The 17918-nt window shown below is 39.7% G+C and overlaps 1 protein-coding gene across 6 annotated transcripts in view; it reads right to left on the reverse strand.

Moving 5' to 3' along the window:
• The window catches only part of SUCLG2 (succinate-CoA ligase GDP-forming subunit beta), a 294153-nt gene that overhangs the window by 243138 nt on the left and 33097 nt on the right, over nt 1-17918 (reverse strand). For 5 of the 6 annotated variants that reach the window (XR_007095763.1, XR_001740350.3, NM_001177599.2 and 2 more), the window contains exon 2: nt 5858-5999. Coding sequence is in view for 4 of the 6 variants with exons in the window: in NM_001177599.2 (NP_001171070.1) it covers nt 5858-5999 (142 nt within the window). In the remaining 2 variants the exon portion in view is untranslated. Of the gene's footprint in view, nt 1-5857; nt 14002-14087; nt 16469-17918 lie in introns of those variants that run through there. The other variant, XM_047449140.1, reaches the window with a different exon arrangement.

Genomic DNA, 17918 nt, shown 5'->3' on the forward strand with positions numbered 1-17918 from the left:
TTCTTTCCCAACAAAAAATAAAACTGAGCTTTTGAAACGCAATTTTCTTGCTTAATCAAATGGTAAGAGTCTCATGTCAACATGTGTGGAATAATTAATAAATTGTAGAGATTCTAAAAACTGAAAGATAGTGATCCTAGATATGTTTCATCTAAGTTTATATACAAATACTTTTTTAAGACAGGTATTTCCAGTTATATGAGAGACACAATCCTTCACTCACTTTCAAAGAGAACTGAAAAGGTAACATGAAGATCAGTCATTCACACAGTAGGTATTCTGTAATGATCTGTTGACTGTATTCATTAATTTAATCCATAAGAGAAAAAAAGTATGTACTTATAAGCCTCCTAAGAAAATTGTATGCAACGTAAACAACTCCTCCTTTAAAGCGTGATTATAAAAGGTGGCTCCGATAAATGGCAGCAGCAATGAATATTATCCACACATTAAAAACTTAATTCAAACAAATTTGCTCTCTCAGACATAAATCCATTTTCTATGCAAGAAAATGAGGATCTCACTCAATATCTTACCATTATGAACAGTGTTTCAGAAACAAAATGTATGCATTACCCATTTTAAACAAATGTTCAAATTAACAAGCTTTCCATAACTACACAGCAAAAGGTTCTATTTGCTCAGAGATAAAAGCAAATGAATCATTAAGAAAATATCTGCAGATTGCAGTTTCTATATATTGCACCTTAAAACCTGCCACATCTAGTTTTAATCCAATCTTCTAATTTTATTAATATGCATTTTCCATGTTTAAAATGCTGACCCACACATAAAAATCTCCCAAAAATATCATCATCAAGTTAGCAAAAGGAAAATGCTAGGGGAGATTTAATCTAATCTGACTGGATTAAAATCCCATCATCTTTGTCATTTAGCTCTACAATCTCGGCATGTTTTTTAACTTTATCTTGCCTGTTTCCTTGCTTGTAAAATGACATAAACAATGACTGAATTTGGCGACCAACTGAATATAGTAGACATGAGAGACATTAATGATGCAGAGCTATTTCAGCTGGGTAAGTAGGGTGGCGAGAAGAAGAGAAGGTTTGAAGCAACCAAGAGATGACAAGTTCCATTTAGGTCAGGTGTGCCAAAGACACTCATGAACAAGTGGTCAACAGACAACTAGGAATGCAGCTTCAGGCACAAAGAAAGAGATCTGCGAGACAATCCGCAGAGAAGTCACCCTGGAAATCACAGATATGATTAATGTCACATTTATTTTCAAAATATTTTATAAAATGTCATTTCAAAACACATCAAAATATGAATAAAGTAGGAAGGTAAGCAAATATCTTTCAATTATTTACAAATCTTTCTAATTAAAATATGAACTCTCCTAACACATGATTAACAGGATAGTTATTACGATGTCTCTGGTCTCTCTGTGAGTTAGAATCACAACAGTAGTGAACCTCCTGGAATTTGCTGCCACTGACAACAATGATGATGCTGATAGCAATAAAATCTTATATAGAACTTTCTCAGTGTTAGACACATAATCATTCTAGGCAATTTTCTCCCATGATGGTATCATAATTACAAGGTGAAGATCCCATTTTTTCAGGACAATCAGGAAGATGTGTGCATAATCCAGTTTTAATCTTAACCTCAAATCTATTTGCTAAAACTTCAATCGTGCTCTTGGTTCTGTCAATCTTGTGGTGACAAGAATGTAAATACTCTGAAGTTTTGCCAGATTCTTCTTGCTTTGCTCTCTCCAGGTAATCTCAGTGATGTGCACACAATTTTTATATTTATGATCAACTAATTTCACTTTTAACCAACTAGAATTGGTTCCATATCCTCTTCTAATGCTATAAATTTCCCCTTAGATCAAAACTATTCAACAACAGAAATCAGAGGAGACCTTCCTTCTACCAAAACTACTCACTGAGTTCGGGAAGGATTACTCATTCATTCACCAAATAAGGAGCTTGAATTTTCCAAATTCCTGTTTAGCTCTAGACAGAATCACAGGGAGGCCCTCTGTTGGCCATACCACCTTAAGGAGCATCATAGATATGCACTGGTGAAACCTGCATGCACACACACTCACACACTCCTATAAGCACACACACACAACCATGCATCATTCTCCATTCCTTTATCCAGCTTGATTTTGTCAATCCTTTTATCATTCTCAACCCTTTATCCAGTTTGTATTTCTTGAGAGCATACCTGAAGAACTAATTTTCTTTTACTTCAAATTGCTTTATTGTCTCTTTTTTTCCCTCCCTTGTCCCAGCCCAACACGTCAATGCAACATTGCTCATTCCTCCAGAGCAGAAATTCTATTAAAAGCATGATACAGCCAGGTGCAATGGCTCTCGGTTGTAATCTCAGCACTTTGAGAGGCTGAGGCAGGAAGATCACTTGAGGCCAAACTGGGCAACACAGAGAGACCCCATCTCTACAAAAAATAAAGACACAAAAATTAGCCAGGTGTGGTGGTGTGTGCCTGTAGTCCTACCTACTCTGAAGGCTGAGGTGGGAGGATCACTCGAGCCCAGGAGTTCGAGATTGCACTGAACTATGATTACACCACTGCACTCCAGACTGGGTGACAGAGTGAGACCCTGTCTCTAAAAGAAGTAAAAAATAAATACAAGTAAAAAGCATGGTACACAATCCCCAACCACAATACAATGGCTAAATAAATGTTCATAAAACCATAACTAAGAAGTCAATTAGCTCACTAAGTGCATATCTCCAGGAATATCTCAAAGAGATTAGGTGTTATGCCTAAGAGGGGTGAGGGGAGTAATCAGCTGGCCTCCAGAATTCTCTTTAAAAAACTTAGTTATACCTGCAATGCTAGTGCTTCACTGTATTTAAGAAAATAATGGGGAAATGAAGATCAAAGACCAACTTGAACTTTACATTTCTTTGCTCTCACTTCCCAATCCCCAAACCACAAGAGTATAAAACAAAAATGATCCTTTCTTATGAAAAGGCTGGAATACAGTACTAACCTTTACTGAGTCTATTATCAAAGTTCACTGAGGAGCTCTCATCCAGGTTTAGATCTTATTTTACTGGGATTTTTTCACAGTAAAAACCAATCTTGATAGCTTTTAAAAATGAAACCAATTTTCATTTATTAAAATATAAGTCACTTCAATTTCTACATTTAACATCTGAAAGTCACAAATTAATTTCTTTCTAGAACATAAATTCTATGAAGAAAAAGGGCTTGCCTGTCTTGCACAGCTGTGTCCACAGTGCCTAGTACATGGTTGACCCTCGATAAATATTTGTTCCAGAAGAGAATGCATATACATTTCAACTGACATAACATAGAAAGGGTCTGGTGTATTAGCATCTGGTAGAACTTTAAAAAGTTCAAAGAACAACAATTACTAGCTAAAGTACCTGCGACTTACTCTTAAAAGAGCATAGAAAATTAGAATATTGAAATATGGAGAGTGCTTCTATCCTAAACTCTCAACCTGTGCTACTGATACCTGGACAAGACTGAGTAGCAGACGCACAACTCTTTATTTTTAGTGGGAAATAACTGCATTCCCAAGGCTGAAGGATGCACATGCAAATCCTTCTAGTGTCCAAATGTGCACTGTCCTAGATGGTAGCCACTAGCCACATCAGTCTCTTGAGCACCTGAAATGTGACTAGTCTGAAATGAGATGTGCTGGAAGTGTAGCATTCCAACCAGGTTTCTGAAGATTGGGACAAAAAAATGAACACAAAATATCCTGTTGATAACTTTTTATATTAATTACATGTTGAAATGATGTTGTTTTAGATATATTGGAGTAAACAGAATATATTATTAACATTAATTTCACCCTTTTTTTCATTTTTTTAATGTGACTGTTAGAAAACTTTAAAATACTGACGTGGCTCACATTATACTCCTACTAGACAGTGGCAATCCAGACCGACACCTACAAAGTCTGTATGCCACAGGTGGGGATGCTCACTGAAAGGCAGACAGCAGGACCTGATCCCTAATATCTGGATCTGTAAGGAGGAAAATGAGCTAGATGTTCTACCACACAACAATCGCCCTTTGATATGGTTTGGCTGTCCCCACCCAAATCTCACCTTGAATTGTAATAATCTCCACATGTCAAGGGTGGGGCCAGGGGGAGATAACTGAATCATTGGGGCAGTTTTCCCCATACTGTTCTAATGGTAGTGAGTAAGCCTCACGAGATCTAATGGTTTTATAAATGGGAGTTCCCCTGCACAAGTTCTCGTCTGCCACCATGTAAGACATCCCTTTGCTCTTCCTTTGTCTTCCACTATGATTGTGAGGTCTCCCCAGCCATGCGGAACTGTGAGTCCACTAAATCTCTTTCCTTTATAAATCACCCAGTCTCAGGTATGTCTTTATTAGTAGCATGAGAATAGACTAATACACTCCTAAAGACTCGCAATAGCATTGGGAAATAAGTACTATTAGCTTTGACCTAAAGAAACTGAGGCAAGGACGGAGAAGGTACTTCTGCAGAATTACAAAGCTGGTAAAGGGAAGGCAAAACACTGAAGCAAAGTTAGCTTGACTTTAAAGTCATGCCCTTGTCTTTGGTCTCCTCCAGTCACTCAGAGGGTGCTCTCCCCATGTTCTAAGGGACTTAAAGAAGGATGTCGACAACTGACTCACCCTGCAAAGGCTTCTCAAGCCCTTCAGCCATGTTTCTCCCAGCCACTAACCCACAGCTGACAGAAGTGGGTGAAATAGTGACTAAAATCTCTGAAAAATTACCATGAAGCAACATCCCATGTGCTGCTATCTCAGGTAAAAGAATAAAGTTTTCCTAAATTGATGTTTTTTGCTTTTTTAAATTGCAGTTATCATTTCCTTTATTAGTTAACATGGATCACAATTTCCTTTTTGTGTTATCAAATATTGTTGAAGGCTTCCATCCACTCCCTGCACACATTATTGAACGATGCTCCACTGTTGTACTATTCTTCATTTCAAAAAGAGCTGGGATGAAAACACCCTAATGCTCATACTGTAAGAATTTCTGAGGATACACCCTCCCTAAGGGATACTGAAAAGAAAGGGAAGTTGTTTGTTGTTCTAATTTTTTTTTTTTTTTTAAGAGAGAGAAGGTCTCACTCTGGCGCCCAGGCTAGAGTATGTTAGAGTGATCATAGCCCACTGCAATCTCAAACTCGTGGGCTCAAGTGATCCTCCTGCCAAAGCCTCCAGAGTAGCTAGGACTACAGGCATACACCACCATACTAGGCTAATTTTTTTAGTTTTTGTAGAAACGGGTTCTGCTATGTTGCCCAGGCTGGTCTCAAACTCCTGGACTCAAGTGATCCTCCCTCCTCAGCCTCTCAAAGTACTGAGATTATAGGCATGAGCCACCCCACTGAGCCTGTTCTAAGGTTTTTGACACTTAGGCCAAGTGCCTCCAGTGAGTGATCCTGGCGGAACTGAGGACACAGAGGTGCCTGTGAATCTCATGCAGCATGGGTCAGGCAGGGCCCAGTCTAGAGGAAACCTCTAGGTGTGCCAGGGAAGAAAGGCTCTATTCTCCTACACCCAGGCCATCACACTGAAGGCTGTCCTGTGATTCCACATCTCCTCCCAGGTCAGCAGGACTGAAGACTCACAGGGACAAAGCTCTGAAAGCAGACCCCTCCCTTCACGCTGCAGTCACCATGTGATTCCTGCACACTTACACACATGTACATGAGGCAATCTGGACTTTTTTGCTTTTGCAGTTCTAAGCTCTCCCCTGTATCTGTCCCTGTCAGTTTAATCCACAACAAAAAAAATTAACTAGTGGGAAGCCACTACCTGTGAATTCACTGATTTGGGCAAGTGTATTTCACCCATTATGAATCAGCTTACTTAGTCTCTTAGCAGCCTCGAGAGCTTCATTTGCAGTGTCTGCTACAAAGAATCTTTGAACTCTCACTCCGTTGTCAGACATCAGTTTCTTGCTCTGGTATTCCTGCAGGTTCAGCCATCTTCTGGAGGTTAATTGAACTGCCTACAGAAATTGAAGGAGAGAGGTAAGAACATTCATTAATAGCAAGAAAAATAAAAGTCAACCTACATGGCCAGTCTTAGAGGTACTGTTGACTGGCAATCTGCAACCCAGAGTTGAGAGAAGCAAAAGAAAAAAAAAACCCACTTAAATTCATGCCTAATTATTTTTTAACAAAAACTGTTAAGGACAACTACACACACACAAATGAATGCAGGTTTTTTAAAAATGCTGAAAGCTGAGTGAGCTCTGTGATCTAGTTAACAGTAATACACAAATATCAATGTCTTGCTTTTGATATTGTACCACAACTACATGAGGTGTCAGCATTAGGGGAAGCTGGATGAAGAGTACATGGGGCTGCTATACTATTTTTGCAACTTCCTTTGAGTCTACAAGTATTTCAACATAAGTTATTTTAAAAACTGTTAAGGACTCTATTACATGGATATGGCTCCCCCCTTCTCACCCCAAATAAATAAAGAGCATAGCATTATTTTAATAACTGTATATAGACTGTTAATCATTGTAAGGTTTTTCAGGAAATTTGTTTAAACACTCTGAAGTCACTGGGCCACAGACTAATTCATTTCTTTACCACAGTTTTTAACAGAGTCTGGGTAGGGCCATTGTGTGTTTAACGAGATTATCTCTTTCATCCACCAAGGTTGAGTGCAATAACCTGAAAGACTGACTATTAATTAAACTAGTTCCTAAACTGCAACTTGTGTATTAAAGGAAATTTGCTTAAGTTTCAAGTAGAAGTGGTTTTCCAATATGCACTACGTGTTTATCTGTGTTAAAAGGACACAGTCAAAGGACACAATAACATGAACAAATAAATTCCTTACATTTTATCCAATAATATCAACAGTATTCCCTACCAAATCTGTAAGCCCCATTTTTAAAAGAAGGAAAAAAAAAAAAAACCAGGAAAAATGAATACACTTAATGTAAACTCCTTTCCATCCATGAGTCATATGCAAAGGAAACATTACTCACAAGAGGAAGGATGACAATACAGTTAATGCACAAACCAAAAAAATCAATCACACAACTGGATCACAAGACTGGTAGTACATGGACATCATCTGATACAATCCCTACTGGCTTCTGTCCACGGCTTTGGTGGATGTCCAAGGCAGTGTCACACAGATCATAAAAGTGAGGCCCACAGGGCTTCATCACATGGAGCCATTACCTTTTGGGACATCTACTGTGTCCTTAAAATGTCATTTTCTTCTGGTATCCCCAAGCTATGATGTATTCATGGAGCTCTTTTGAAATAGGGTGATTCAAAGCTCTATACCCCCACTACTAGACTGTGTTCCACTAAAGGGTAGAAAGTGTGCCTTAAACTTCTCTGTATCTCTGTGAAGAAGGTGACAGTGCTTGACATATGAAAGACACCCAAAAAATGCCACTTGGATGGCCAAATGAATCAACTCTGCCTTTTGTCTCCTGATATGGACAATTTTTCATTCCCAGAAACTGGCCACCTCTAAAAATAAAAAAGTACAAGTTAGTCCTTAAGATGTGAAATAAACATAATATAATGTATACATGCTGGTAAAAAATTCAAATTTCAACATGATCAAGCCTAAAGATAGCTCTCTGTTCCGTCCTTGTAGCTGCTGGTAATGATGGTTTGGTTTTGCTTTTAATATTGAAGTTGCCTATACTTCTTCTTTAGAAATAAATAATACTGGGATAAAAATAAATTGTCAGACAAGCAATGCTCACATCATTTACCGTATATTATTTTTTAACTACACATTATTTCTTAATCTTACTTTTTAAGTCTTGATGAAACATTAGTAATTTGAAAAACACAAAATTCTGTAAATGAACATACTCAAAGGCTTTATAGTCTTAATAGCGTGTTATATAACATACAAAGAAAAATACGAGTTTAAGGCATTTAGCGAAAAAGCCCCTTAGTGAAAGAAAACATTAAACATTAGCTGTGTGCTATTATCTAGGACCACTCTTAAAAGGCAAATAGGAACAATCAATAGATTATGTCTACGTTGACATAACAATTTAAAGCCATTAACCAAAGAAAGAAAAAATATAGTTTGAAAAGAGCATTTGAGGGAGACTAAAAACAGCCACAATGTGGTTGTGGTCAATTCCTTTTCATCAGAACACTCGCCATATTAATTTTAGATATGTTAATGCAATCTGCTGGAAACTAATTGCAATTGATCCAGAGGCCAGCTTCACAGACATGTAACATATATTGACTGTTTCCACACTGACTCAAATGAAAGCCAGCTTGAAGTCTGTTGCTCTTAAATTGAAAACCAGGACAATGAGCACAGTTCCAAATCCACTGATGACACCCGGCTATCACTCCACAAAGGAATTCTTTTACAGAATAATCACCTATTTTTGTCAATCCAAAACTTGGAAAACTAGGGCCCTGACTGGCTCTAAAACTTCAAGACAACTCCACTTATTAAGAATTTGTAGCTGGGTGTGGGCAGGCGCAGTGGTTCACACCTGTAATCCCAACATCTTGAGAGGCGGAGGCAGGAGGATTGCTTGAGCCCAGTAGTTCAAGACTAGCCTGGGCAACATAGTGAGACCCTGCCTCTACAGAAAGTGAAAACATTAGCTGGATGTGGTAGTGCATGCCCACAGTACCAGCTAATTGGGTGGCTGAGGCTGGAGGACAACTTGAGCCTGGAAGGCTGAGGCTGCAGTGAGCTATGATTGTGCCACTGCACTCCAGCTTGGGTGCCAGAGTGAGACTCAGTCTCAAAAAACAAAAAAAAATGTGATACATCTACAGAAGTATAATTTATGTTTACTTCTGCATTCTCAGTTGTAAAAAAAGGGTGAGAAGAAATCTGCTATGCAAATGGATGGTAGAAAGTACGCTGGAAATGTAATATAAACTGCTGAATAATAATAACAATAATAGTTCCATCTACTATTAATTGAGCACTTATGAGCTAGGCATTATATTAAATATTCATGTTTCATGGTTAAAACAATCAGGAAATGTCAAGAATTATTATCTCTCTCTGTAGCTGTCATTAGTGCAAATCAAGAAATATCCTCGGTCTTCTTCCTTCTAGGCACTTCCTTACTTCAGCTGAAGTTAGGCGATGCCGTATCTACTACCTAGAGTTAGCACCAGATCCCCCAGGTTAGAGGCTCAGTCCCACAGGACTATACCCACTTGAGATGCCAGGCACAAGCCCCAGGTTATTTTACCTGTGCTTCTGACCAACCAGTTATCAATTGGGAGTTCCCAAGACCTCCTCCTCGGGTTTAACTAATTTTATAAGATGGCTAACAGAGCTCACAAAAACCACTGCTGACATTTACCAGTTATTTATAAAGGATATGACAAAAGACACTGGTGAACAGCCAGATGGAAGAGGTGTACATAACAAGGTATGCCCATGGAGCTTCCATGCCCTCTCTGGGGGTACCACCTTGCAGATACCGCCACATATTTGGCAATCTGGACACTCTCCAAACCTTGTCCTCTTAAGATTTTATTATTTTATTACATAGGCATGATTGTTACCTCATTAGCCATTGGCGATTAACTCAACTTTTAGTCCCGCTCTCTTCCCCAGAGACTGGGAGGATGGAACCGAAAGTCCCAACCCTCTAATTATGCTATGGGCTTTCTAGTAACCAGTCACAATCCTGAAGCTACCTAGTGGACTCCAACCACTAGTCATCTCATTAGGGTAGAAAAGACACTCATCACTTCAGATATCCCAAGGGTCTTAGGAACTGTGTGCCAGGAACCAGGGGTAAAGACCAAATATGTATTTTTTTTATTATATCACAGTATCATATCAATTAACTAGTTCCAGCCAGTAAGTTGTGAGTACATATGTTGTGTGACACATTCAGGCCAACGTTTAATTGCCATCCCTCCTACCCCATCGAAGTTTGCCCTCTCTAGATATGGGGAATGGCAACATTCAAGATGGTAGCTGATCTATCAGCCAGGGACCAGAATAAGGATGGACATATACCAAGTGACTTTACGTAAATGTGTAGTAAAAAATACACCTTTGTGGATTCTTAGCCACTGAAATTCTGGGGGTTATTTGTTACTATTGCACAACCTTTTTGCCCAATTGGCTTTACTGACCAATAAAGCCATGTTACAAATTAGGAAACGGGCTGAACTTGCCCAAGATCACAAGTTACTCTGAAACAGTAAAACTTCTGGATCAACTGGGTAACACTATTGGTTCCCTGTGTTTGTATTCTGGTCCCAGAGGCTCTGTGGTGATAGAGACTGAGATAAGAGACAAGTAAAATAGTGTCCCTTTCGTCAAAAGTCTACCAGGAATAGGACTTTCACGAAATGCTGACAGAGCTCGTGTAAGGTAAAATGTAACTACTCCAGGCTTTGGGAGGGAGGGAGGTGGAGATGTGAATAGGTGTTGTCCTAAGATGCTAGAATGGTAGAAGTTTATTTCAACTCCTAGGAAGAGCTACCTGTTATGACCCTAAAAATAACATCTTTGCTGCAGGAGACATGAAGAATCTCTCAGATAATCCATGAATTCTAGAATGCAAGGAATGGAATGGAGTATAAAGATCATCTGCCCCAGTGCCTTTTGATTGTTTCTGCCAGTCATTTGCCAGCCTGCCCTCAGGACCATTCCACAGGCTCTTCTGCCTAAATTTGAGACTCTGTTCAGAGACTGAACAGTAGGGGGAAGACACCAGGCTTTGTTGTCCTCTTTGTGGGTGTAACAGCATCTCCTCTGAAGCTCCAGGTCTCTCCAGACAGCCCTCTCTTCCACATTCCAGCTCCTGCTATCTCCCCTGCTGTGACTTCTGCTTGTAACAGCTAGCCCTAGACTCGGCCAACACCATTTCCTTCCTCTCCTATGGCTCACGGAAGATTCCTGCTGTTGTCCATCCATCTCTGTGTTGCCTCCCAAGCCTGTGTGCCTTACAATCTTTCCGGCCCTTTGTTAAATTCTATTAAATGACCTCACAAAATCCCTGTCTTCCTGACTGGCCCTTACTGACACAGTGCTTCACAGGCTGAAGGTGAAGGGGAATGGCAGTGATCCACTTTTAAAAAGGTCTTTGGGACCCTATACTGGAGAAGTTTCCCAGTTAGTCACATGTTTCAAATACTGGGGTTTCAAGATATAAAGGGACCACTGGGGTCCAATCACCTCAGTTTACAGTCAGGAACCTGGAGGCCTGATGAGGGAAAGTGTCTTGCCTAGGGATCATATAGTAAGCCAGAGGCCTGATGAAAGCTGGACTAATTCCCAGCTTTTTTCCTTCCTTCACATGGATTTTGGCAAAGTGACCGTGATAGGAACAGCATCACATTCTTAAACTAGCTGGGGTAGGTGGGCACCTAGGTTTTGTTCCCTTTGGACTTGTACAATATCCTTGCCATCATTCCCTTCCTTCCTGCGTTTCTTTGATAGAGCAAACATTTCTAAGCTTGGAGGGGAAGGGGAAAAATACAACTTAAAAGAAAAGCAACACATAAAGATTTAAGGGCCTATGGGAACAAGGGAGCAGAAGCAGAAGAAAAAGAATGAAAAATGAGGCAGGGGACAAAGAGAACCAGAAGATAACAAGACAATGGCTAAGTGGGCAAAAACTGACATAAAAACTCCAAGCACAAAACCAGACAGCTACACAGAAAAAAAAAAATGACATGCCCAAGAAATCATCCTTCGCCCCATGGTTTTAAAATTAGAGGTGTAGAAACAACTGAAATAGCACCTGGGGTGGGGAGGTGGGGGAATCAACAGAGAATATCAAAAGAAATGTCCCTGAGCTCGACACCCCTGAAAGGGAAAATCGTCTACCCACTGGCTCTGCACTTGCTCCAGCCTTCTTCAGCTCGACTTTGCACACTAGTACTGCTCACTTGGGAAGGCAGCATAAAGCAGTATTAGAAAGAGCCCAGGACTTACTAGTAATCAAGAAAATAGAAACTCAAACAAAACGGAAGAAGCCATTTTGCCAAAAGGAATGAAGATGCCACTGAACACAAACACAAACACAAACACACACACACACACACACACACACACACGAGATCTGATGCTATTGTTGTTGAAGGTCAGGTGAAATGCACTTTCTCAGATACTATCCTTACAACAGAACACTAGTGCAACCACCTTCCAAAACAATTTGACAGTGTTTATGAAAACTAAAGCACCCCCATTCTCTGACCTGGAAAGTCTACTTCCTGGGTATCTATCCTAGCAAAACATGTACCAGAGATACATGCAAGGATCTTCTCTGGAGAATTGTACATAACAAAAGGATACGATTGGAAATGATCCAAATGCCCATCAAATAGAAGACTGGCAAAACAAACTATAATATATTCTGACTGTGTGAACTATTTAACATTATCTATGGCAACACAGTATCACCAAGTAACCATGTGTACCCCTACATTTCTCAGTTCTCTTGTAGCTAGTATGCCAAAACTTTTAAGAGACCATGTGCAACCCTCCAGAGCCCTATTTGTTGGCTACAAGGACCTGGAAGCCACATGTGGAGATGGTGGAATCACAGGTGAGATTAGGCTGGATTATAAGAGTTACAACATGGGGGATGTCACCTGACCCACATGTGCATGACTGAGAAATAAACGTTTGACGTGTTAACCACTGAGATCTTAGGAATAACTCATGATAACAGCATTGACTAATCTAGCCTATTAAGTCTGAACATGGTAGCACTAATTATTCTACAAGGCACAAGACTAAAAGAAACCAGCAAGCTGCAGAACAATACATACAGCAGAAGAACATATATTAGACACACATGTTCACACATGAAGCAATAATGTGTATCTTCTAAGGACAGATACATGCATAAGTAAATGTATAGGAAAAGGTCCAGATGATGTTCACCAAGCTATTGCCAGTAAACTTGGGAAGGGCAGACCAAGAAATTTCAACCTAATCTATAATTTAAAAAAATTTTTTTAATAATGAATTTTTAAATAAATTCATTTATTATTTGTGCCATAAATATCAATCTACTTAAAAGCAACATTGAGAAAAAGAAATAAAAGCCAGGCTTTAACACAATGGTGTAGCCTTAAGTCTCTATTAACTTTTGTGCAAAACAAAGGGCTTGCCCCTTACTTAAATGTAGCAGGGTTCTTCAAATGTGGTATGAAATCGAGGTGGGTGAGCAAAAGCCGCATTTTCTGTTATACAGAACTACCACCTCTAATATAAACTCCTGCTGTTAGATATGAAGAGGCTCTTAAACCTCACTTCGAGCTCTCAACAGCAGTGACGACAGTGGAATACAAACAAGGAATTAGATTTAAACTCAGAGGAAAATATATTTCCCTCTCATTACAGGCATGGCAATGAAGGCAGATGCTTGGTGGGCTGTGGCAAGTCAAAAGTTAGTATGTGTTTGTTATATTTTAGTTTTGCCAATGTTGTTCTGTATGCAAATTAGCACCGATAAATCTACCTTAGTCACGTTACCTAGGAAATATGAGGCCTCAAATAAATGTGTTGGTGCAAATGAAAAGACAGATATAACTCAATGTGTCTCAATATAAGTGTCATAAAATAAAAGGCCTGCTTGTTTAAAACAGGCTCTGATGAAGAAGGCACTTTAACTGTGCCATCCGGTAAAAGAGATTAAGTGGAATCCTGTTTGTGAGAGGAAAAATAATAATACCAATAATGCTGTTCTGCTTAGGCCTTAATACGATGACAACAGCACGTCAACTTCTCTTTCAGCATGAAAACATGCTACAGAAATAGGTAAGAAAAGTAATCATCGGGATTAGAAGCCTAAGCCTATGGAAAGGAAAAAAATAATAATGTCAGATGTAGAAGGAAGAATAGGACTGTGGGTACTGACACTGTTCTTTTTCCCTCCATGTTCAGGCTAAAGAGTAGTCTTCATTGGAAGTCACCTTTGAAAACAGAACGTCACTTTTGTTTAGCACTGCAATACTCTTCACCACTCTCCACTTGGGTTCTCCCTGTTTTGCACACTGTAAGAAAATGAATTAACCAATTAATTAGCCCCCTGTGGCTGAGTTCTTAAACTCTAGAAGGGGTACAGAGAGATCCTACCTACCCTATGGATGGCAGAAATGGCAGCTGACATGAGTTTCACTTCCTCATTTATAAAATAGAGGATACTAACAGGCCCATCTTCAAAGGCTGTTGTAAAGATTAAATGAGTTAATATATGCAAATAAACTGGAACAGTGCCCATGACAAGTACTCAAAAAAAGTTAGCTATTATTATTTAATCCAGAAATATAAAAGAGGAGGAAAGGTGTAACAAGTAGATACCTGGCAATCATTAAGATAAAAATAGTAGGTGATCATATAAATAATTTTGTTTTAATAGTGCCCACTGAGCCCTGCTCATTGTTTTAAATACATTTGTAGAGATATTTTTAAACTCTAATCATGGAATTTCTATACTTGAATCACTCAACAATCACAGAAAAAGAACAGTAATTTGCAAAAGGAAGAACTAGAAAAATCTCACATTCAGAAAGCATCTTAAAATGTGCTACTTAGGGCCAGGCGCAGTGGCTCACACCTGTAATACAAGCATTTTGGGAGGCCAAGGTGGGTAGATCACAAGGTCAAGAGATTGAGACCATCCTGGCCAACATGGTGAAAGCCCGTCTCTACTAAGAATACAAAAATTAGCTGGGTGTGGTGGTGCGTGCCTGTAGTCCCAGCTACAGGGAGGCGGGGACAGGAAAATTGCTTGAACCCCAGAGGCGGAGGTTGCAGTGAGCCGAGATCTCGCCATTGCACTCCAGCCTGGCAACAGAACAAAACTCTGTCTCAAAAAGAAAAAATGTGCTACTTACTATAAGTAAATTTACTTTTCATCTCATTTGAACTAGGTTATCCCCATCTCACAGAAGAAGTCTGAAGGTGAGACAGGTTGGTTAAGTAGCTTGTCTAAGGCCACTCAGCTGATTAAGAGAGAGTCACGATTTGAATCCAGGTCCCCCTGCCTAAAAAAAACCCATGAGCTTTCTATTATCACATCTGACTTTTTCTCTTTTTAGTCAGTCTGTAAATCCTGTGTCAATTAAAAACTACTTGGAACCACCACAGACAAAAACTATACTGCCATTCCTGACCTAAAATTACTGTTTTCCATTTTAAAGTATGAACAAATAAAGCAGCTGACAAATTGGTAATAATAATAATGACGATATGGTACCTGAAAAGCCAGCGTTGAAGGGATGTAAAACTTAATTAGAGTGGATAGCTAGAGAAGAAAAGTACTTTAAAGTTCCCGCATCAAGAGAAACAACACTTGAGTTATTCTTCACAGGACATCAGACTAGGATCAGACCAGCGTCCGAGACCATTTTTGTTCCATTGACAACGCATCTCTGATAGTGCCACATGTCTTATCTAAGGCCTCTAGCAGTAAAGCAAGCAGCATCAGTTTAAAATAATAATAATAAAATCATCTGTACTTCCAAAAAAGAATTGACAGTTGAGCTTTCAGATTATCCAGAAACTGGATCACAGCAGGTTGCTATTTTAGAATTCATTCTTCTTGGGGTGCCTTGGCAAAGTCTTACGTTGCTGATCCAAATCAAATACTAGTGAACATTTCTGAGTCCCATGAAATTCCAGAAACTGTGTTATTCCACTTGGAAAGCATTACCTCGTGAGATTCTCCAATTAAAGGAAGATACCAGCAGAAGCTCATTTTACAGATAAGCAAAAGAAGGTTCAGAGTAACTAAGTGCCTGCTCAGGGTGACACAGCTGGTTGGAGGCAAAGCCATATTTCAAATACAGGTATGTCTGACTGAGGAGCCTGTGCCCTTTAACTAGGCAGTGCTGGTGTATTATCTCCCAGTGCACAACCATGGGCCCTGAGCCTTGAAGTCAACTGGGGCAAAAGAAGCAGGAGGCTCTGGTTTATAGATTTCACTGCAGGAAGGTACAGAGCTGTACCGAATATGAGGTTCACTGGGAAAATGGGAAGGTGTGAAAGAGAGGTTGCTGGATCGGTTTCCCTAACTCGAAAGAATTAAGATTCGCAAAGATACTGCCTTGTTCTTTTTATCCTAGGTTCAGCAGAAAAGCAGCATATATTTTAAGGAGCAAAGAAATGTAAAACACTTTGTAGTAATGACAAATGCCCAAAGGAGAGTTTGCTGCATAACTCTATAATGCTGCTCTGCCAGCAGCAAGAAAGAAAAGGGAGGGAAAAAAATACAACCTTGATAAACATTAGCATATTAGCACAACAGCAGAAACAAATGTATAAAAGGCTCTAAAAATACCAAACATCCTTTCAGAATGCCTGTCTGTTCCCTCCTGGAGAGTATGCTAGCTCAATCATGTTGTAGAAGAAAATCACCTTAATTTTACCCTGCAAACAGAAGTAGGCAAGATTTATTTATAGATAAAGAAAACAAATTAAGGTAATATAAACATATACTGGCATTTAACTCCTACCAAGGAAACTGGCAGACCTATACTTTGTTCATTCATTTAACAATTTTCCACTGCATCCATAATGTGGTCACTGTGTTTGACATCCAAGATCTAGCAGTAATCAGCACAGACAAGTTCTTTGTGGTCAGCAAGCTTTTGCCCTAGGAGGAGAGGCAGGGAAGAAAGACATGAACACATTAATGAAGAGTGTAATTACAGAGCAGCAAATGCTATGAGGGAAAAGAAAGACACACATGATGAGGCCGGGTGCAGTGGCTCACACCCGTTAACCCCAGCACTTTCGGAAGCCAAGGCAGATGGATCACCTGAGGTCAGGAGTTCAAGACCAGCATGGCCCACATGGTGAAACCTTGTCTCTACTAAAAATACAAAAATTAGCTGGGCGTGGTGGCACGCACCTTTAATCCCAGGTACTCAGGAGGCTGAGACAGGAGAACAGCTTGAACGCAGGAGGCAGAGGTTGCAGTGAAACGAGAATGCACCATTGGACTCCAGCCTGGGTGACACAGTGAGACTCCATCTCAAAAAAAAAAAAAAAAAAAGAAAGAAAAAAGAAAAAGAAAAGAAAGACACATGATGAGCTGTGCAGGCCAATTTTAGACTGAGTGGTCACCTTTAAAGAAATGACATCTGTGCAGAAATCTGGAGACAGAAAAGAGGTATACCTGTGAAGGAACTGAGGCAAAGCACAGCAGGCTGAGAGGCCAGCATGTTCCAAGGCTCTGGGGTAGGAAAGGGGTTGGCACGTGCACGAACAAGGGAGTATGGTGACAGAGGAGCATGAAAATGCCAGCAGGGACCAGATAATGCAGGTGCTGGTAAGGCAAATACAGAGTTTAGACTTCATTCACTCAGTTTTAAACAGGGAAGTGAGAAGATCAAATTCACGTTTTAGAAAAGCCACTGTTTTCTGTTTGGAGAATAAAACCAATTGGGAGAGAGCTGCATTAAACCAGATTAAGGTTAGCAAACTTTTTCTATAAAGAGCCAGATAGTAAATATTATAGGCTTTGAGGCCAGGTGGACTCTGTTGCAACTACTCAACTCTGCCTTTGTAGTGCAAACTAGCCATCAATCATAAATAAATTAATAGGCATGGCTGTGTTCCAATAAAGCTTTATTTGGCTAGCAGGCCAGTGTGCTGATCTCTCAACTAGACTATAGAGAAGGGCAGTAGAGGTGGGGACAGAAAGAAATGAGGGGATTCTGGATAAAGTTTGGTGATGAGGTAAAGCTTACTTGTGGATTAGATGTGGGTTTAAGGAAAAAAAAAAGAAATCTAGTATTAGACACACACACACTTTACAATGTTAGTTGATATGCATGTGGTAAATCTGATGTACCTGCTAGTCATAAAAAAGGCACTTCTTTAAAAACAATCTTAACCTCAAATCTTTTGCCCAAACTGGCCTTATAGTTTGAATGTTTCTTCCCTCCAAAAGTCATATGGCACT

Source organism: Homo sapiens, chromosome 3, assembly GCF_000001405.40.
Source record: "Homo sapiens chromosome 3, GRCh38.p14 Primary Assembly".
Taxonomy (NCBI): Eukaryota; Metazoa; Chordata; class Mammalia; order Primates; family Hominidae; genus Homo; species Homo sapiens.